Source organism: Homo sapiens, chromosome 9 (assembly GCF_000001405.40).
Source record: "Homo sapiens chromosome 9, GRCh38.p14 Primary Assembly".
NCBI classification, from domain to species: domain Eukaryota; kingdom Metazoa; phylum Chordata; class Mammalia; order Primates; family Hominidae; genus Homo; species Homo sapiens.
The window spans coordinates 20,770,788-20,794,327 of record NC_000009.12 but is presented as its reverse complement, the minus strand read 5'-3'; the positions used below and the strand labels follow the sequence as shown (position 1 = coordinate 20,794,327).

Sequence of the window (23,540 nt, the reverse complement as noted above, 5' to 3'; positions counted from 1 at the left end):
TTCTCAAATCTCTTGCTTTCAAATTTCTTCTTTCTCTTGGTAGGATTTTTATACACAATACAAAACATATATACAGTGTCTTTCCAACATCTCTTAGGACATTACCTCCTGCTCTCTAAGTTCTGTTACTTCTAGAGACAGATGCTCTGGTTAGTTACATTGTTAAATTTTCTCTTAAGTCTGGTGAGCCTTAACTGTTCATTTATATTTATAAATCAAGGCCAAGTTGGTTGCAGGGAGCTGGCATGGTTTAATTCAAGAGACATAAATAAATGTTTCCTCAAATAAGACTGGCCTTTGATTTGAAGGGCTGACTGTGGAAGGGCTGAAGAATGATGAGACATGTCAACTTACTGCTCCACTTCAGGTTGTCTGGCCACGGTACAAGTATGGAGAGGACCGATCCCCACTTCGCCCTTCCCTCTCCACTAAATAAGAAAAATTTTGTTCTGGCAATGGTAGACTTCAACGTATTTTCCCTTGAGCAAAATTCCTCCTACCTATTATGAAATTCAAAGTTACCACAAAGCCTGCTCTGATTCCCCTCTCACAGCCCTTCAACAACACTAGAAGCCCATCACTTAGAGAGTTCTAACCAGAAGCAAACCTACTGGTCCCTGATATCAGTTGGAAGCAGATAGACTCCACTGTTCTGAATGCAGTTTTGGACTCCTTCTCCTCAAACTCCACTCCATCCTTTCTGATGCTTGCTGTTCAATGACACACCCAGACAAACGGATTTTGTTTCAGTACATTAGTAAGCATCACAGTGGTAGGGGTTGAACTGAAAAGTTACAATTCCTTCAATGAGAACCATCAGTAATTTCTAATCTGTAGACCAATCAGAAGTAACAGCCCAACACTAACGCCCAGGAATGCCAAGAAATTAACACAGAACTACTTCCCTGTGTATAAACTCTAGGCTTTTTGCACACAACCGGGAAAACACAAAAGGGATCAAATGCCAGCTGAAAGCTTTTTATCCTACAGATATATATGTAAGGTTTACAAAGGAGAAATAAACATATTGCCACGGGAGAGGGTACATGCAACTTGACCTTATATTTCAGTTGTGCTTCTCTTTGCCTAATTGCTTCATGCTGGCAGGCTCATCCCAATTTTTATCCAGGCATAATCGATGCTATGGTTACCAGGGAATAGTAGTACACTACTTCTTATCTATCAAGCTATTTATTAAAAGTACTGTACATTCTGGCTTCTTTTTGCTGGTGTGAAGAATACAGGTAGCCGACTGACTTCAGGGGGTAGCAATTCATAGAATTCGGTAACAACAGAACAGAGTACAAAGTGTCCAAAGACTCTTTGTGCAAGTTCTTTTATAGAATATATTTTCTCTTTTTCTCACAGCAGTAACTTACAGACCATTAAATTTCACACATTTCCTATTCATTTTCCATGTTAAAATATGGCTTTTGACCCTGGGTAGAACTATCACAGGGTTCTGCCCTATAACTCAACTTTTACATTTGATAATATATGACTTTTTAAAGACCAGCAAGTCATGGCCCATGAACCTAGTCACATAAGTGATTTCAAATGGATCAAATGTGTACACTTTTACACATGGAAAAAAATTGAAGCTCTGAAAACATCACAAAGAATAAAATAATCGAAGATTGCAACTGTTCCTATTAAGCAAGACCTTTAACTAGACTTAACAACCAAAATGTAAAAAGAAAATAAAATACCTCAGTGTTGTAAGATGCAAGTAAAAGAAAAGCAAAACAAATAAGCATGACTCTACTGCCACTTCCAAACAAGAGAAAAGCAAGTAACAAGAATTTGAAAGAGGCACTGAGTTTTGCAAAACTCAATTTGTCAAACTCATCAATGGGGATACGTTTTGAGGAAGGAACTTGTGGTTCTCTAAAATCAAATTTATGAGTTTTTGCTCTTTGGCATATTCTATTTTATAAATCAGTCAAAAAGAAATTGATACACCTTACACATAGTATTTAGAGTTATTCCATTGAAGGTGAGATATTAAACTATTTACACTTTTATTTTAGACCAACTCAACCTATCTCAAAATTACTCATCTTTGTGGTTGATGTTCAGTTCAGATACCTAAGTATTTAATCTTACCATAAACCCTTAAACCTTATGGATAGAAACATAGGAGGAAAACACATTTTCTCAGGTCTTAAAACCACAAACAAGTAGCCTTGATTTCCAAAACAATAAAATCTTTTGTTAGGTATTCCCTCTACAAATATTTATAAGATACTGTTAAGCATCCTATAAGGCTTCTACATACCAGGTGGCCAGAGGCTACCAGACAGAGACTTCAGGCAGCCTGAGCTAAGACAACTAACTGGCTGCCAGAATGCTGAGACAGGATAATATCTCGGCACACCTACCACATATACAGCATTTCAGTGTCCCCCAAAAGACAAACTGAGAAGTTCTGCTTTACATTTTTTGCCTATTTTGCACATTTCCACTTCTATGATGAGTACACTATCTATCCTTCCTTTGGGGGACCATCTCACCCCATTCCACATGAACCTGGTGGCAGAAACAATTTTAGACCTGATACTTCACCTACTTCTATTCTACCCAGGATGGCCAAGTAAAGTGCCCCATTATCCCATCATGATGGTTAGTCCAATGTAAACACATGACCTAAGCAAGGCCAATCTGAGCATTCTTTACTTCTCTCTTCCTTTTGAATTTTGAATATAAGGTTATAAGGCTTTGGGCTTCCAGCTAATTCACAGAGGAAAGAAACTGTACCTTGAAAATACTGCCCAGACCATGAATGTTCTAAATACTAGAGGTAATAAAAACTAGAAGAAAGGATTTTGAATGTTCCCAACATGCACACACAAAAATGATAAATGTTTGAGGTGATGGATATACTATTAATTACCCTGATTTGATCATTGCACATTTTATACCTGTATCAAAATATCACTCTGTATCCCATAAGTATGTACAATTATTAATTGGGAACTAAAAATAAAGGGGAAAAAACTTTGTGGCAGCTTAAGATGGGTTTCTGTTACTTACAATCTAAAGCATCATGCTGGATCAAATTTCCTGTGTGTGTGTGTGTGTGTGTGTGTGAGTGTGTGTGTGTGTGTGCATGCATATATATATAGATGCAATATATGTTTTCTGTCAGTGGTGTAGACAGATCAAGGTAACCCACTGTATAACTTCAAGGGAATCCTTCTTTAGATAATCTCCAGGCATTATCTGCATTAACTATTCTAGAGATTATCCTACCAAGTGTCAACACTGAAAGAAAACATTGGTTAGAAGCAGGATCACTACAGGAAATAAAAGGAGAGATAAAGCAGAAAGCAAGTTAAACTGATTCACATTACGCATACACCATGAAACAAAAGTATTTTGAGTACATTACAGATCCACTTGCAGAATCAGAACAGATGAGGTCCAGTCAGAGTGAAAACTCTTTGTGAGATATCAGCAGTTGTTTACATGACAAAAAGGAATGAGTATGACAATTTGAGGTTAAAAAGGAATTCCAAATACATTAACTTCATATCTGTTTTGTTTTTTTGTTTTTGTTTTTTGCTTTTGAGACAGAGTCCCAGGCTGAAGTGCAGTGGCGCAATCTCGGCTCACTGCAACCTCCACCTCCTGGGTTCAAGTAATTCTCTTGCCTCAGCCTCCTGAGCAGCTGGGATTACAGGTGCATGTCACTGCACCCGACTAATTTTTGAATTTTAGTAGAAACAAGGTTTCGCCATGTTGGCCAGGCTGGTCTCGAACTCTTGACCTCAAGTGATCTGCCCACCTCAGCCTTCCAAAGTGCTGGGATTACAGGCGTAAGTCACTGCACTCAGTTAACTTCATATCTCAGATAAACACATTTGCCCGTTTTCTACCATCAAATTTTTTCCTCTAGGAACACATCACTTTTCCATTGGGAGATGGAAGGTTTCTTCATCATTCTTGAAAAGAAACACAAGCACAGATACTAATAAAGAGAGGATAACAAAAATGTCAAAACTACTTGATTAGAAAACCTTTCCTTTATAGGAAATGCATTCTAGAGATTCTATCAATTGGAGAAAAAAAAAGTCACAGGTTATTATGCTAAATATGTGGTTAGTGTAAAAGGCTGGGGAAAGAAGTCTTATTAATGCCTGACTGCTTTCTCATTACATCCTAAGTTCTGTGCAGTTAGGAAGAAAAATTGTTTACCCTCATATCCTAGCATGCAGATCCGTACCATATATAGCAAAGAGTCAATATTTTTTAGCTATTAAATGACTCAATAAAGATAGTATCAAACTGCAAGAAGTTAAAAAGATATTAATGTCTATTGTATAGGCTCCCTTATCCTGAATTGATTAATCTGTGTCCACTTTAAATGATCAACATTAGAACTAATGGATATGTATCTTGGAATAGGTTCCAAGAGTTAGCAAAAGCATTACAAAATAGCAAATCCACCAAAAAATTGGAAGAACCAGAATAGCACCATGTGCAGATTTCGTTGTGAAGTGTGCTTTCATTTAAAAACTGTTTGCATCATTAAGTATACATCAACTCAGAGTAAGGAAAAAGAAGAAAAAAATGGAAGGATAAAGATAGCAAAAAAAAAAAAAATCATCAACCCATAATTTAAAACTCTGATGCAAATAATCCACAAAGCAGGAATAATCTACATTTCCAATGATTAAGCTTTCCTCTCATTATTGTTCCATTATTCTCTTGCTTTACCTGGGAGGAATCTGCTTGGGCTAATTCTGTAGTGACCTTGAGTATTTGGTGAAGATTTTGTCCTTTGTCTTCAACAAGGAGGTGAGCCAGCAGAAGAAAGGCAGGCGCAGGGATCACAGCAGTAATAGGAAGCAATGACTCTACTGAAGCCAACCAGTCACTTGCAGCAGACGAGTCTGTCATTACTTCAAGAATCCTCCAGGCTGTAAATATTGTACCATACATACTGGTTACAGGGCACACAAGCTTGTAGGAGAGCTGAAAAATAAAGACAAGAGAGGCATAAATAAGTGAGATAAATATATTTGTCAGAAATATGTTTCTGGCATTCTTATATTTCATTGTAAGATATCACTCCTTCCAACAAAATGAATACAAATTGAATTACTGCCAAAATCCTCTCTGCACATATTTGAGGTAATAGGATTACACAAAGAGAAAAGAGTTGTTAGATGGAACTCCAGAAGAGTTTTATCACAACTTTTCCTCATATTTACCATTCATTCCCCATTAAGGCAGAATATATGGATCAATATACAAAATCCAGAGGCAATTGCATTTGGAAAAAGCCATTATCACTAAAAAAGTATTCACCAATGAGAAGAAAGATTAAAAAAAAAAAATACTGTATTTGCCCAGCTCCAGGCCCTAGGCAGAAGCAGTCTGGGGCAGATGGCAGACTTGGACTGAGGACAATTCATTTCTGTAACAGACAGTATGTTGATAGGAACAAAGTTGGTTCAGCTGGAGCCTGGGAATTCATTAATAATTGTAACTTCTGCAATAGGAAATGGCCTGACAGCTCTAAGCTGAAACAATACCCAGAGATTATATTATGCTAAATTAATCTGAGAAATGGCTCCTCACAGAAATAAAGCAGTGCAGTCGGGGCCAGAGGGTAGCCAAGGTGAGCTCTGTAAATAAACAGCTCAGAAGTGGCAGACGTTAAAGAATCATTAGACATTGCTTGCTAATAAAGTAACTCAAATCATGTATAGTGCTTTGTGACAGACTGGAAATCTCTGGATTATAACTGTCTGGTTAATAGAGGCTGACTTATATGAATTAGGATAACAATTGAAAGGATGGAAAGTAAAAGTTAAGCTTTATCAAATTTTTAAATAACAGCTTTATTAAGATATAATTTGCATACTATAAAAGGCACCCTTTTAAAGTTTATAACTTACTGGATTTTAGTAATTCATTCCTAGAGCTGTGCAACCATCATCACTATCTAATTTTAGAACATTTTCATCAACCCAAACAAAAATCCCATACCCACTGATAGTCACTCCTTACTCCCCCAACCCTCCTCCAGCCCTTGGCAACAACTAATCTACTCTGGTTCCATACTGGTCATTTCATATAATAGGAAACACATAATATGTGGTCCTTTGTGACCAGCTTCTTTCACTTAGCATGATTTCAAGGTTCATCCATGTTGTTACTTCTATCAATAATTCATTTCTTTTTATTGCCAAATAATATTCCATTGTATGGATACACTATATTGTTTATCCACTATCAATGGATGGATATTTGGGTTGTTTCCACATTTTGGCGATAATGAATAATGATGCTATGAACACTCCTATAAATTTTTTCTGAGGTTATAAGTGTTCAGTTTTCTTGAGTATATACCTAAGAGTAGATATGCAATTTCTTTGACAATTAAATGTCACAGTAAAAACAAATGAGGAAGCTCTCACTGTATTGATATAAAAAGATTCCCCCAAGTGAAAATATAAGATACAGATAGTATGACTCGAGTGCTACCAATTTTTTTTTTCAAAGAGAGTGAGGAGAAAAAGATAATATATTTGTAGTTGCTTGTACATGCAAAGAAAAGTATGTGGACAAATACAGAAGAAATTAGTAACCACTAAATCATCTTCTGTTTTGGGGAGTGAAAATTGGACAGCTGGAATCAAAGGCAAGAAGGCTGCATTCATTATATGCAATTTTCTACTGTCTGAACCATTTGAATATATTACTATTTCAAGAAAGTTACAAATTTTAAAAATTAAATAATATCTAAGTTTATATAGCTCTAGCTCTCTAAAAATATTTTTCTTCCCATGAAGAAGAAATTCATTAACAACCATGGCCAAGGTTTTTAGACTAATGACAAACACCATAAAATTTAAAGGGCCAGGACTTCAGGATAGCCATGCCAGCTATCAGCCATTATGCAATTTTTCTAAGCCTCTCTTTACTCGTTTGTAAAATTTAAGAAATGACTACTTTCCTGCTTAGGTTATAATATCTATAAAACACCTAGCACAGTGCCTGAAGTTGCAAAATACAGGTAAATAGTATTGCTGTCATCTTCCGGAGAGAAAAATAAAACTTATGTAAATGAATATAATTTGGAAATTACCATGAACCTCAAGTTGAGTAAAAGCAACAACATAACAGAGACATGTAAGAGTAAACAATGAAACAGAAAAGCAATCCTAGGTTACTTGAACTGTTATGTCCAGGTTTAGGCTCTTAAGTTTGTTTGTTTATTTGTTTGTTTGTTTGTTTGCCTAAGGTTAGAGCAGCAGGAGAAATTGTCCCATTGAGTGACAGCTGCCACTGGCACAGTCCCAGGGCAAGGATGCAATCAAGCGTTTTCTCTCAGCACCAGCTACCAAATCCTGGCCCCATAGCCTGAGGGAGGACCTGTGAAAATGCTAGTAAGCTTTGCTTTTAGAGGAGGAAGTAGGTGTTTAAAAATAAAAGGTTTATGTTATGTGAATTATATATCAATAAAAAATAAACCACAGAAAAATACATTTAAATAAATACTGGGTGGTTGTAAGACATCTTTTACAGGTAGAAAATAATTGAGAATCTTTATTTTAAAAAGCATTTAATAAAAATGTGCAGACACATTAAGTAGTAACAATAAGATAAACATCTGATAGTACTTCTTTGTCAAAACAGGTCTGAAAAAGAAATTGTGAACAATATTGATTTTCATTAACTGTAAAGAATGGCACTAATCTATAATAGTGACTAAAACAGGTTTAACAAAAGTAGAGTGGATATAGGAACTCAAACATATAGACCTTTAAAAGTAAGATAGATTTTTGCTAGAGGATATTAATCACTCATCAGTCAAGCAGCAGAAGACTGGACTACATAAACCCTCAAGAGAGCCTTTCTAGCACTATATCACTATGAAGACTCTAGACAAGAGCTGAGAGATTTGGGAGTGGTTGGTTATAACCAAGAGATAACACACAACATGCTCAGTCCCATGTCTTTCAGAAGATGATGATAGAAGCACAACATCTAAGACTTACTAATTCCTTTTTAAGTTCCAATCAGAAGTCTAAAAAAAGTTTATTTCAATTTACTATTATCACAGTTTGTTCCCCTGTAAATCTGAAATGGAACTGTTATTTACGCCCAAGTTCAGCACAAAGATGATAAAATATTGTGCCAAAAAAACAAAGAAAGAAAACAAAATGAAAGTGCAGGTAACAGGATTCAGGCCCTAGAATCAAACAGTCAAAATCTGAATTCCAACTCTACCCTTCACTACCTGGGTAATCCAGAAAAGTTAACCGCTCTAATCTCAGTTTCCCGGCTTGTAAAATAAGTATTTTAAGAATACCATCAGGGAAATGCAAAACAAAACCACAATGAAATACCACTTCACACCTACTAGGATGTAACCATCAAAAAGATAAACAATAACAACAATTGTCGAGGACAGGGAGAAACTGGAACCCTCATACACTGCTGGTGGGAATATAGAATAGTGCAGCCCCTTTGGAAAACAATCTGGCCATTCCCCCAAACTGTGAAACATAGAGTTATCACCTTACCTAGCAGTTGTACTCCTCGGTATCTACTCAAGAGAAATGAAAACATTTGTCCACACAAAAACTGATACATGAATGATTATAGCAGCATTATAGCCAAAAAGTGGGAAAGAGCCAAAAGTTCGTCAACAAAAGAAAAGGAAAGTAAAATGTAAGGTATCCATACAATGGAATATTAGTCAGCTCTAAGAGAAAATGAGGCACTGCTACATGGCACATGCTACAACATGGACAAACCTTGAAAACATTATACTAAGTGAAAAAAGCCAGTCACAAAGGACCACATATTGTATGATTATACTTGAAGGAAATGTCTAGAATAGGCAAATCCATATAGAGACTACAAGCAGATTAGGGACTGCCTAGCCTGAGGGGTGAGGAAAAAAGGGGGGAATTAGGGAGTGATGACTAAGAGTGCAGGGATTGTTTAGGGTAATAAAAATAAAAATGTTCTAAAGTGGATTGTGGTAATGAATATACAATGCTGCGAATATACTAAAAGCCACTGAATTGCATGCTTTAAATGAGGGAAGGGCGCATGTGAATTACATTTCAATAAAGCTATTAAAAAAGAATTGGGTTCCCACTGCATGACAGTAAGTTATTTACCTTCTTTATGCCTCAGTTAACTCTTAGGTAAAATGAGATCAATAATTTTACCTACTTCAAAGAGTGTGAGATAAAATCAAACCAGTTAATATATACCAAAGTACTTAAAATGAAGCCTGCACATATGAAATGCTCAATAAACCACCCCATGAAGGGGGTGTTTTGTTGCCCATTTTACCAGGGCCCAGATACCACACAGATTCAGTCACTAGTCCAAGGCCACACAGCTGGAAATAGATTAAAAAAAAAAAGAAAGAAAGAAAAGACATCTATTTCATAGTTATTGTAAGAAATACGAGTTGGCCCACATAATAACTCCTGGCATATCACACATGTTCAATAAATGTTAACTTTAGCCATAAGTAGGACAATGACAATTCCTTGCGAATTTTCTGATTTTTAAGAAACAAATATTCTGCTTACTATATACTACTTCAAAGCAATTTCAAATAAAATCTACTTGGCACAGCTTTATTACCAAAGACCCAAAAGTACCATATTTAATTTTTAAAAACACATAAGAATGAATAAACACATGGTAGACCCCAGCTCAGTCAAGCTGTCTCTAAATTGTTATGCTGACTAAAACAGTTTCATAAAGATGAATTTTGCCCTCCTGTACAATTACAAGAATTTAGCTTTTAAGTCTCCTTTTCCACTTCATCTCACCCATCCACCCTTACTCCCCTCCAAAAAAACTTTTCCGATTCTTTCTTACTTCCTGAGCCAGTTACTCAATGTGTTACCTCTCAGCTCCACACCCACTCTTCTTTGCCTGACTATGTGATCCTACAGCTGTGCCTTTTCAACATTTCTCCTTTGCCCTCTGGTCTAGTGTTAGACCTTGTCAATAGAGAGCATAGGAGAGACACTGCAAGGAAAGGAAGAAGGGGCTTCTCTTCAGGTTCCTGTGTGCTTCTTTGATTCCTCCTACCATGGCTGCTAGGGACATACAGGATATCCCAGAGGTGGCTTCCAGTGGACCAGCTCAGCCAATTCCAGCCTGCTCACACGACAAGTGGTTTCCTGTGGACCAGTTCTAGCCTATGGCACCCCAGCAGACTATATCATCCAGTAGGCCTTCTCCACATTCTCTCCTACCAGGTCTGACTCTCAGCATTGTCTGGGGAGACTTTTTAGTTCCTTCCTTGGGAACTCTGCCTTGGTCTTAGCTTAGAGGTAGTAGCTGCTCCCTACATTTACTACTGTAATATTCCTTAGATGCTTTTTTATAAGGTTTTATAACTAAACACCTCTTGCTAATAATTCATTGCATTAAGTTTTCCTTGTTCAAATTGCCAGTGTGTTTTCTCTTTCCTGACTGGAATCTGACTCATATACTGAATGCATTCTCTCTTTTATCCCCCACATTCTCTTGCGGGAGTGGAGGAGAACAAGGAGGAAGCAGAATGTTTCAAGCCCTTTAGAATTTACAATTAGTGTTCAATTTTTTTTACTTTTTTTAATATTTATTTATTTATTTTGCCTGGGGAGAATGAAATAGGTAGTTTTAAATATCACATTTAATAGCCAAGATCACACCGCTGCACTCCAGCCTAGGTGGCAGAGTGAGACTCCGTCTCAAAAAAAAAAAAAAATCCAATAGTCAAATAATCTTGACTCAGGGAGGCTGAGAACATTTGGCTGAGTCTTGAAGGATGAATAGTTCAGGCAGCTGACATAAAACAGCATTCTGTGCAGAAGCAAAGATTCAGGAAGAGACTTGAAGAGTTTGGGGCATGTTAAATTCATAGGTGTGACTGGAATGTAAAGTTCCAGATAGGTGCAGGAAAAAAAAAAGCCAACAGTAAAATGTGGCTTACATTTTTTAAAACAGTGATCATATATCTACTCAAAGCCTCCTTAAAGCAACACAGTATCATAAGGAGGATATTTACAGCCCTAATAGTAATTCTGCCCCTCCTCTTTACCAGCTGCTAAAGAGAAAGTCCAGATATTAGTGTTAATAATAAGATTCACACACATCTGAGCAAATAGTAAACCAAGTACTTATGTATTAGAGTTGGGGTGATCCTCAGTAAATAACACTTGTGATTTAAAGGAGCAGAACTCTTGCCCTGCCAACTCTTGCCCTGCCCCCACTCCCATTCAAGATCCAATCATTGTTCTACATGGGCAAACCAAGAGGTAAAGTAAAAAAGCTACTAGAATTTTTTGATCGGATTTTGTACTCCTATTAGGGCTGATGCAAGAACTTCTCTCTCAATTCAAATCGATTACCTGTTTCAAGTTTTAAAGTTTTAGTCAAACAATTAGGATTTAGGAAGCTGTAGTATACATTCAATTTGCCTATAATTATGGGCCAGTTTCTGCTACATGCTCAAACAAGAACTAATAATGACTGGATTTGTGCTGCTGGAGCATTTAACATAAGAGGTATCTCTGCTTTTGCAGATGAAGCCACAACCATCACTCCAGTTTGTATTTACATAGTGCCTCTCTTCATGGAGATTTAAGATGCTTCACCAGCTTTATCTTATTCAATCCTCATTTCATCCCCATAAGAGGAGCTGGGAAATAATGTTTCATTTTGATAAAGGCAAAACTCAAATATCAAAACAAAAAAAGTCTGGTAAATCTAGGCCTAGAACCCAACCAATATCCAAACCATGACAACACTTTCACGTTATTGTAACAGGAAAAGCAAGACTGAAAAAGCGGAATGAGGCAGGCAGGATTGGAAACGGAATGTGGCAGGCCTGTTGTCTTCCAGTTGGAGGCAGCAGAATAGGGGCATACACAGGGGACATCGAGAGCCATTATGCCAGGGAACACGGCAAGAGGTGCCATATTAAATAAAGAAGTTTTAGTTCTTACTGATATGAGAACTTCCAGGCATTTGAGGACTATTTCCCACCTTGGATTATCTCAGATCTAGCAATATGCTGTACTTAACTAACAGTATAATTTTAAAAAATGATTCCATGTTCAAATATATTTGAGAAGCATTAGTTCCTTTTCTGAAGAACTCTTCAGGATCTTTAACTAGTATTGTGCACTGGATTTTCAGAGAAAAAAAAGATCATATAGCATTTTCAAACTTATTTCACAACAGGACTACTATCCCTTCTTATAGTCCAGAAGAATATGTTGAGATCTCCAACAGCACTACCTGACTGAATGGTGAAGTCTGATAACAAACAGATGCTTCATCAGGAGGCAAGATTATCCGTAAAGACCGAAATCCCACATCGACACTTTATTTAAGAGAAACAAGGATAGATTCATTACCTTTTGGTGGTCATCTCTGTAACATTCCTGCTGTATCATTTCCAAAAGGTTTAGAGCCAACTGCTGCCTAGAGGGACCTTCTTCATCCACAGATATACAGTCTTCCAAGGCAGTAGAAGATAGTATCTGCAGAATTGGCATCACTAGCAGCAGAGAGGACTTTGGGATTTTCTGATCCTCAGTAACAGAGAGGAGCTTCAAAGCTATTCATCAAAACAATAATGCACATTTTTAAAAATTAATACCACAGTCAAACAAAATGCAATTTTGCTTAAGAATGATATGCAAGAAAGTTTTCTTCCCTTTTATAACTGGGTCAGACACATAACTAGGTTGATAAATCTTATCCTAAAAGGAAATAAAAGGAGTATAAATAAACTATTATATAAAATAAGCTGTTAACATATATAACTGAAAAATTGATGATACTCTTTTAGGTTAATATGAATTTTTTAAAAAATACAATTCAACATTTGCCCTTAATATCCTCTGAGATGCTAGTATTGCCCTCAGCAAACAGAGCTAAGAGACCAAGAATTCCTGGATCAGTGGCTAACAAGCCCAACATACATGCTTCCTTTACAAAGGCAGCTAAGAATCCTATTAGCAGATGCTTAAGTAAACAGCAAAGTGAAGCAGGACTGCCCTTCAGCTGTAATTGCTAAGAAGCAGATTGTGAAAGTCCCAAAGTCCAGAACCAAAATAACAACAACAAAAAAAATTAGTGAATGGTTCTTTAACATGGAAACAACTTACACACCAGATACATACAGTTATACAATAACTGATTTACATGTAGAGTCTCTAGACTATTAACTGAATGAGTTAAGGCATAAATATACTTTTTTCACAATATTTTTTTCAAAGTGATGTAATTAACCCTGATTTACTAAAAGATGTTATTCAGGGGATTCAACGTTAAATTATCAAAATATTCAACTGATTTCCCCACTACAGCAAAAATTCTACAAGCCTTGAATCATGTCAATGAGTTGTCAGCATTCTATTTTACATCATCTGGAGGTCAAACCTTAACATGATATTAAGTACAAACACCTGTTACTCTAACACTACTAATTTACTTTTCTTGCCTAAATATTGGTCTTAATCCATAATTGTTTCTGAGATATTATGAAAATCCATTATCTTTAATATAACAGGAAATGAATATAATAGCAGTATTTTAATAGCCTAAATTATAAATCTAAATATTCCAGGCATTTTTATAAATTGCTATTTGTAATCAAGGCTACAGTTAACAACTACATAGTGTAATATTACATTAATATAAAAATTAATGTATAAATAAATCTTTTAAATTTGGAATAATCAATATTCTCTTGGTTATCCTATTTCTTTGAATACTCTTTCCCCACAGTTCTTCCTTACTTTCCAACATGATATATTGGCTTAGCAGTGTTCAGTACAGTTTATTCACTCTAAGGTAACTTCAAATCAGAGATATTGGTTTACGAGAGAAAGAAAAAGTCTGCTAACCAGGAAATAATAAAAGTATTTGACTGTTTGATACTGTATTATCTTTCTCTTACACATGAACCACAATATAAGAACATAGCTTCAGAATTTGAAATGTGGATTTTCTGAGGCTTTAGAATTTTTTTGTCAGAAAACAAAATCCAATCATATGAAATGTCTAGAAAAGGCAAATCTACAGAGACAAAAAGCAGATTAGTATTTCTCTGGAGCTGAGGGTGAAAATGAGGATTAACTACAAATGATCACAAGAAATTTTGGGCAGATGATAGACAGTGGTGCTGGTTGCACAAATCTATAAATTTACTAGAAAACACTTTATTCTGAATTTTATGGTATGTAAATTACACCTCAATAAAGCTGTTTTAAAAAAGAAAACTATTGCTGTCAGAAGTACCAGCACGGGTAAATTATACCTTTGGGTAGATCCCATGTGCACTGCTATAAGAAAAAGGCAAAAACCGGATCAGACTGTGGAGGGAAGGTATAAGCGAACATAAAGCCAGTAGCCAAATGCAGGGTAGGAATCAAAGCCTAGGAGCCAAGGATCCCCTCCATGTGCTAAAGCCATTTCCAAGGCACACTGTAGGTGAAAGAGCAATTCACTCCCAAAATCATGAATTAAAATGCCCAGAAGAATGAGCTATACAATAAGTATTTATCTCGCACACTTTTTTTTTTTTTTGAGACGGAGTTTCGCTCTTGTTGCCCAAGCTGGAGTGCAATGGCGCGATCTCGGCTCACTACAACCTCTGCCTCCGGGGTTCAGGTGATTATCCTGCCTCAGCCAACCAAGTAGCTAGGATTACAGGCATGCGCCACCACGCCTGGCTAATTTTTTTGTATTTTTAGTAGAAACAGGGTTTCACCATATTACCCAGGCTTGGTCTCGAACTCCTGACCTCAGGTGGTCCACCCACTTCGGCCTCCCAAAGCGTTGGGATTACAAGCATGAGCCACCGTGCCTGGCCTCTCACGTACTTTTTAAAACTAAGAACAGCAGCATATCAACATATCATGGCACTATACAACATAATTTAGAGCTCTCATTGTTATGTGGATTATTTTGGATCAGACCAAGTAAAGTGAGGCAGCACCAATGTAAAAGCCACATTTTAAAAGTATGACTTATTTGCCCGATAGGGCAACTAGCTTCTTTACCACATTCTTCTTAACTAGAACATTTTTGCCACCCTTGGCCCCCTCCTTCACTTTTCTTTAAGTCAATACTGGACTGTCAAAAGAATATTATCTTTCATTTGTTCTAGCTAGATTTACATTTTGAATAGTTAAGGTATGGAGAGTTTTAAAAATAACTACAACTACTAAACACTTTTCTTTCAAGGATTTTATACTAAAGCTTTCCATTTTGCTGTACAATGTTGAATAAGGTGCTATGCCATTCAATATATTCCTGAATGTTACTGCCATATAAGGTTAGATTATAACCTCTAACATGCAGCCGAGATACTTGGTAAATTATGTTATATTAAAACTTGCACAAGGTAACAACTTATTAGACAAGAAAAAAAATTCTATTTAATAATTTTAAAAATTACAGATGGAAACTCAAAATACACAAGATAGCAGGATACATAGTTCAAGTGAATCCTGTCAATACTCATGTTATATTTACATTTTACTCTAGTGACTGTATTTTTATTTACCTAGATTTAAGATTGGCTTCTGCTGACTTGCTGGAGTCTGTAGAAGTAGTAAAGCTATTCCAATTATGACCAGTTCAACAGGAAAATCCTAAAAGAATAGAGGGGGAAAAAGGAGTTGTTAAAGAAGTTCCCAGAATCATGGCTTTGTAACATGTATCCAGGAAGAATATATTTAATATGAAAGACTGCAAGCCTATTACACAAATTTATTTATACAGCAAGTGTGCTCTACTAAAGAAAGAATTGGTCGGCCGGGCGTGGCAGCTCACGCCTGTAACGCCAACACTTTGGGAGGCCAAGGCAGGTGGATCACGAGGTCAGAAGTTCGAGACCAGCCCAGCCAACTTGGTGAAACCCCGTCTCTATCAAAAAAATACAAAAAAATTAGCCAGGCTAATTTCCCAGCTACTCAGGAGGCAATTGCTTGACCCAGGAGGTGGAGGTTGCAGTGAGCCAAGATGGTGCCACTGCACTCCAGCCTGGGTGGCAGAGCGAGATTCCATCTCAAAAAAAAAGAAAGAATTAGTCAATGCCACACAGTCACACATAAATTCAAAATGATGTATTATATGGCCAAAAAGCAAGATGCTATAAACCAAATAATTCAGAGGAAAACTCAACACAGCAGATCAGCAAGTCTTCTAAACAGTCAATCTTTTTTTTTTTTTTTTTTTTTTTTGAGACGGAGTCTCGTTCTGTCGCCCAGGCGGGAGTGCTGTGGCACGATCTCCGCTCACTGCAAGCTCCGCCTTCCGGGTTCACGCCATTCTCCTGCCTCAGCCTCCCGAGTAGCTGGGACTACAGGCGCCCGCCACTGCGCCCGGCTAATTTTTTGTATTTTTAGTAGAGACGGGGTTTCACCGTGGTCTCGATCTCCTGACCTCGTGATCCGCCCGCCTCGGCCTCCCAAAGTGCTGGGATTACAGGCGTGAGCCACCGAGCCCGGCCTAAACAGTCAATCTTTAAAAACCATTGAAAGTTGCCTAAAATACTAAATTTAATAATATTTCATTTCTGAAAAGTAGTTCAATTTTCTGCTTACCTAATACAGACATGATTCATCTATATAACTTGCATAATGAATTACACTAAACAAATTTTAGTAAATCATGTCACAATAAAAGAAATATTAGTGCCAGGGAGGTAGAGATTATTTTCGAATTACCGTAATTCATTAAGCATATTTAAATGTAGCAGAGCAATGACCATAGAAATGGAAAACCATTAAGTTCACCAAGTATATAAACAAAATGAAAAAAAGATGTGTATATTAGGTTTTAATAAATATTAATAAAACACAAGAGACATGTTATTTGAGGTTTCTAAATAAAGAAAATCTTAATGTATTATGGCACTAAAGAAGAAAGGTTCAGCTAAAATGACTATTCTGAAGTTTACAGAAGTGCCTGCAGAGCAGAAGTACCTATGAACAATAAAGACAGTCAAAAAAAAAAAAAAAAAAAACCCACAGGAAAAAAAGGAAATCTGTAAGTTAGAGCCACATGTTAAAGGACCACCTGCCTGAGTGAAAACAATATAATTTGACATACCCAGAAATTATAATCTTGAAGATACTATCAAACTAACAAATACCCTCTAAAATCTCAGTTTTACCATTTGAAGAGTGAAATTAACCTACAAAATCCTCTCATGTGCTTGTTTATGGACTTTTGAAAAAAAACAACAAAAGAAAAAAATTCGTGAATTTTTAAAAATGGGATATATTCCAATCTATGTATTTTAGGAATATATGTGTTCATTGTTTTGAAATACAGTCGAAAACAATGAAGCAACTCTTATCTATTTGAGGATAATACATGCATTTTGAAACCAACACACTTACAGTATATACTATCATACCATTCTTTGCTATACCTTCCTCTATTTCATTTTAATTTCTGCATGTCCATAAAAAAACAAAAGGAAAACCAACAAGATCACTTAAACCTCAGATTTACTAGATTCCAAAACGATCAACAACAAAGAAAAGCACTGCTGTATAGTAATGCTATTATTGGAAAGCCTTTTTCACACAAGCTATTACTGCAAGGCCCATAAAGTAGCTTTTTAGAGTTCTGAAATGGAACAGAAGTATTTTTAAGTGGATGGAACTTAAAAGTATGAAGGCAAAAATGAAAATGGCCTTCTCCAGGAAGGGTGAGACTGGCCTGTTCAGAATAGAGGGTGAATGGAAAAGAGGTGGAGATTCAAGATCAAAAATAAGGAAAAGTAAATGGTGGAGGATTAGACCACATAAATCTTAAACTGCTTACAAGTCTAGTGGTTACAAGTTTTTTGATTGATTGATTTTTAATGGACACCAAAGGATAGTACCATTTAATAAGATCTTTTAATAAAACCCTGTGTCAGACATCCCCTTTGCACACTTCAAATGCTACAGCTACTGCTGTGGTAACTGGCTCTGCACAGGTGCAACCTAATGGTTCTCCCCTGAAGCTCCACCATGCACCTCTTGCTCCCTGCCCCAGAATAGCGCACTCTAGAAGTACAAGGAAGTTAAAGCCCCATAGGCCAAAGCTGACAAATCGGCAACAATACCCCATAGATAAATGCTTTCCCATTAATTCCAGATCCTTCTTTCATAAGGCTTCTCAGAAGATTCTGTGGGATCAAGCAACTAGTAGCAGTAGCCTACTTGATGATGCCTGTATTGCCTCTCCCACCTTCCATACTTCACTCCTTTTGTCCCTCTCCAACTGCTTGCTGGGATCACATTGTCAGATGAACTCTAGTCATATAAGCCTTTGCTTCTGTGGAAACCCAGGCTCTACTTTTGCCTTTAGGGAAACTCAGGCTAACTCAGAGCCTGAAAATAAAATAAATAAATAAAATACAATAAAATAAATAAGGAAATAAAATATATAAAATAAGGAAATTTTAAAAAATGAAATAAAATACAAAAAATGAGTAAATGCCTTTATACTCAGCCACAGATGTCGGAGGAGTCCCAGTAACAGAAAACAACCTGGAGTCCATACTTTTTGTCCTCAAGTCAAATGAAAATAGCACTAAACATCACCTATGCACCAGGCACTAAGGACATATGCTGGGTCTACGAATGCCACTGTGGACAAAATAGTCCCTTTTCTCAAGGATTTTACAGTATAGTCATGGAAAAGTATTTTTAAAGAGAAAACAAGGCATGAGAAGGTAGCAGACAAAACAAAGATGGTGGCCCAACCCACACAATCCTCCAGTGCTCTAACTTTGCTACGTACTCTGTTCCCCTGGCCAGAGCTTGATCAAGCCAAGATGGGCCAAACAGATCATTTTTCCTACAAAATCTGAAAACTTAAAATGAGACACACAGTGAAGAAAGTTGGTTGGAACTGAGTCATCAGCCAGTAGTGCTGCTGGGAAGTTTCCGACCCTTCCCAATGCTGAAATGTTTCACTCATTCTTCACTTCGAGAGCTACCCAATCTCCTCCCAGTGAGCATCATTTTTGCCTAATTTTGCTGGTCAGGGTACATCTGTTTTGCTTGAAATGGAAAGGACCTTAAGTTATGATTATTCTAATCAGGCTAAAAATGGCTCAACTAAGACCGAATCCACAAAAACTAATGCAGCCTAAGAAATAAATCCATTTTCAATGTACAATGATACAACGCTGATATAAGAGTAGAAAGAGAACAGAGTAGGAAAAAGTGAATATAATATTTGAACAAGACATCCAGCTGATAAACCCAGCGATACAGAAATGTGGGTATGGTGTCAAAATACATAAGACTACTTCATTCTACTTCATTTTATTTCAAATTGTAGTACATATAGACCTATAGCATATGTTCACAAATTAATTTTCCTAGGCTTACTTTTTTAACCTCAGGAACACTAAGATGGGGATGGGGGACAGAAAACTTCATTACACAAATATTTCAACAGTTCTACTAATTGTTATTTCCTTCTAAAACTGCTAAAACATTGGGCAAATGAGAGACATAAATAGGACCTTCCCTCACCAAAAATCTTTTCATTCTTCTAAATGACATTAGTATCCTGTGACTCTACATTATAATCAAAAACATTTTAAAAATTAGATTCAAGAGCCACTTATTAATAGATTCCCAGTGGCCAAAATAAGACAATTTAAAATTCAATATGGATAATATCTGTGATAGACTGAAGTGCATCAAATATGTTTAAATTCATGAATTCATAATATTTTTTAAAGTTAGTAAATAAAGAAAAAGGCAAAAGAGTACAGCATTTATTCTAACTTTCCTTTACCACTGGATAACCAACTAGTAGGTTATTGGAGGAAGGGTATTCTTTTTGTGGAAGTATTCCAGCTAATAAATGGAGAAGGAATGATAGGATTAGAACATTACCACTCTGCAACTCCTAATGAATTAATAGAACTAGGCATTGCGTACCAACAACTACTAACATCATAAAAAGAAAAGCAACACACATTGTGCCTCTTGATGACAGAACACACCATCCCCTGTAGTCTTGGAAACAAAAAACAAAATATCCTGAACCCAGTCAAGCCTTTAGAGCTAACTACCTTTGAACAGAGAAACACATAAAGCAGTGGTCCCCAGCCTTTTTTGCACCAGGGGCTGGTTTCATGGAAGATAATTTTTCCACACACCTGGGGCAGGGAATGGTTTCGGGATGAAACTGTACCACCTCAGATCATCAGGCATTATTTAGATTCTTATAAGGAGCACACAACCTAGATCCCTCGCATGCACAGTTCACAATAGGGTTCATGCTCCTGTGAGAATCTAATGCATCGGCTGATCTGACAGGAGATGGAGTTTAGGCAGTAATGCTGGCTCACTGGGCTGCTCACCTCCTGTGTGTGGCCCAGTTCCTAACAAGCAAGGAACCAATACCAGTCTGTGGCCCAGGCATTGGGGACCACTGTATTAAAGGGCACCATACGGTTGCAATCAGCAAAATCCAGAAGATAGGAAACTCTCCAGCTCACACAAGCCAGGTTATTCAGCACACAAACTGCAGGGAAGAAAAGTGGGGGAGGAAACGAAAGGGGATGACCTTTAATTGGAAAGACACTTAAAAGATCACACACACACACATACCCCAAAACATATTACAGTGATTAGAGATACACACTGAGATGACAAAACTATAAAGAAATGTAAGGAAGTAGTTACTATAGAAGTCTGAATAGTCAGGGGAAAAAGGAGGTTATGAATAGGACTGGGCTTGTGGAGAACTTCTGTGGTGGCTAGAAACCTCTATTTCTTGAGCTGTGTGATGGTTTCAAAGTTCTATGTTTTGATCTATGTGCTATTTGCCTTATGTGCAAAATAAATGATAAAAATCACCTGTGGGTGCTACTTTAAAATAGAGAATACTTGGGCCGCACTCAGACCTGCTAATTCAATATCATTAGGGATAAGGCCCAGGCATGTGCATTTGTAACAAACTCTGCCTAGTGATTTTTATGCACACTAGTTTGAACCATTTGACTAAAACATAAGCTTCATGAACCTTGTCTGCTTTCAACTAATTGCCATAGCAAAGTGTTTGCCATAGGCATCTGCTTAATAAATATATGCTAAAGGTGGGGGGAAATACACAATAAAATGGTCAGAGAATTATACTAAAAAGGACTAAACTGTATGAAATTATACTTGCTACTCACATGAATCTACTAAAAGTACCCAGGAAAAATATGGGTTTTACCCATGGATATTACATTTACAGTTAACAGAACTGGCAATTTATCTACATAATACTGATCTATAAAATATCTTTCTGTATAATATTTATCTATAAAACATCTATATATGCATTTATATACTATCTATATTATATATAACATGATTATATCTGTAAAATATAATTATACCTGATATATTATACATATATATATCTACTACACATAAGATACATATGTAACTGTATAATAGAAAACATGTTATTTAGAGTCCCAGTATATATAAAATCATTCTAATCATAAGATTGGCAAATTGACAAATGACTTGTAATACTTGAGTCTTCCTGGGCTCCCAACTTCCATCAAAATCTACATTTACTCTCTCATTTCCTCACCTGCCATTCACACTCCCTTAATTCCAATTTCCACGCCCCCCAACCACCACCACCCTGCTGAAACTGCCCCTCTAATGTTAACAATAAGCTTTTATATGCTATATCCTAAGAATACTTTCCATCCCTTACTTTTACATCATCGCTCCATGACACATGACACTGCTGACCACTCCCTCTTATTGAGATATTCCTTCCCTTGATTTTCTTGTCATCTGTCTCTGCTGGTTATATATGATCCTTCTAGACATATTTTCTCAGATTCCTCTTTATCAGTAAATTCCAAATAACCACCACAAACACCCCAGAGTTCCACCACAAGCCCTGTCACCCAGTCCCGTGTTTAAAATCCCCACCCCAAAGTTAATGTCTACAAATGTACACCTTTAGCCTAGACTTCTAGCCTAAATTTCAAAACCATATATCCAACGATGTATGATCCATACATACCTCAAGTCAAGCATATCTGAAATCTAATTAATCATCTTCCCTCCAACATCAGCTACCATTTCTCAAAGTGAATGGCATCATCCAGTAGCCCAAAATAGAAAGCTGAGATTCTATCAAGGACCCTTCTCCTTGACCATCTAATCAATCATAAAGCCCTACTGATTCTGTCTTCTATGTCTCCCTTTTCCCACTTCCATTTCCCTCATTAGGCCCTCACTATGGGCTGAACTGTGTCCTCTCAAAATGTATTTGTTAAAGCCCTAACCCTCAAGTGACTGTATTTGGAGTAAGGAAGTCATTAAGGTTAAGTGAGGTCATCAGGGTGGGGCCATAATCCAATCTGGATAGTATCCTCATAAGACACCACAGAGCTCATACTCTCCCTATCATGCGAGGAAAGCCAGCTGCAAGCCATTAAGAGTCCTCATCAAGAACAGAATCAGCCAGCACCCTGTGCTTGGACTCTCCAGCCTTCAGAACTTTGAGAAATAATTTTATTTGTTTATTTATGTATTTTGAGACAAAGTCCTGCTGTGTCGCCCAGGCTGGAGTGCAGTGGCACAATCTCGGCTCACTGCAACCTCTGCCTCCAGGGTTCAAACAATTCTCCTGCCTCAGCATCATGAGTAGATTACAGGCATGCAACACCACACCCAGCTAATTTTTTGTATTTTTAGTAGAGGCGAAGTTTCACCATGTTGGTCAGGCTGCTCTCGAACTCCTGGCCTCACATAATCTGCCTGCCTCGGCCTCCCAAAGTGCTGGGATTACAGGTGAGAGCCACTGCACCCAACCAATAAATACATTTTTGTTGGTTAAGCCACCCAGTCTGTGGTAGCCTGCCTAAGACATCCTCCTCACTTCCTACCCTATTAGTGGTGTGCGGTCCCAAACCCTCCTCCATCTTCCTACGAGAAAGATCTTCCACACATTAAAAAATGAGATCTGCTGAAAGGTCTCAAACAGCATGTCATTGCCTAGAGGATAAAATGTAAACTCATTTGTGTGGCATGGAAGACAAGCCCAGCCCTATTTGCCACAGCTTAATCCTTCAACAATACCCAACATCCTCTTGTTTTTTTGAATAAGCCAAGCCTGACTACTCTTTCATGTCTCTCTATTTGGGCACATGCTGTTCTACAGCTGGAATGCCCTTCCCAGGCCCTTGTACCAGGCACATTCCATTCAGTCTTCGAATCTCAACTCATGCCCTACCTCCTGAAACTTGTTCTCCCATTACATTTTAAATATACTCCCATAAAATCCTTTCTCTTATTGTACTATAATTTAGTTATTTGCATGTCTGTAAGTCTCTTGAGGTCATAGAATTTACCTTTTCATCTATGTATTCTATAAAGCCTGGCATATTACTATATGTTCTGCATGAATAAATGAAAAAAAAGTCACAGTGGTGATCTTTAATTGATGATCCGAAGAGTATTTTAATGATTTCTTTTTCTAATAAATGATATTACCAGTAGTGC

The 23,540-nt window shown here is 37.1% G+C and overlaps 1 protein-coding gene and 1 non-coding gene across 20 annotated transcripts in view; both read right to left on the bottom strand.

Moving 5' to 3' along the window:
- FOCAD (focadhesin) overlaps window positions 1–23,540 on the bottom strand; it is a 340,326-nt gene that overhangs the window by 201,623 nt on the left and 115,163 nt on the right. For all 19 annotated transcript variants that reach the window (XM_047423537.1, XM_047423539.1, NM_017794.5 and 16 more), the window contains 3 exons: window positions 15,560–15,647; window positions 12,399–12,601; window positions 4,720–4,977 (listed from right to left, as the gene is read on the bottom strand). In XM_047423537.1, the coding sequence (XP_047279493.1) occupies window positions 4,720–4,977; window positions 12,399–12,601; window positions 15,560–15,647 (549 nt within the window). The remainder of the gene's footprint in view (window positions 1–4,719; window positions 4,978–12,398; window positions 12,602–15,559; window positions 15,648–23,540) is intronic.
- On the bottom strand, window positions 7,273–7,401 carry SNORA30B (small nucleolar RNA, H/ACA box 30B). The gene has a single exon (NR_145762.1). It is a non-coding gene; the product is annotated as a small nucleolar RNA, H/ACA box 30B (small nucleolar RNA).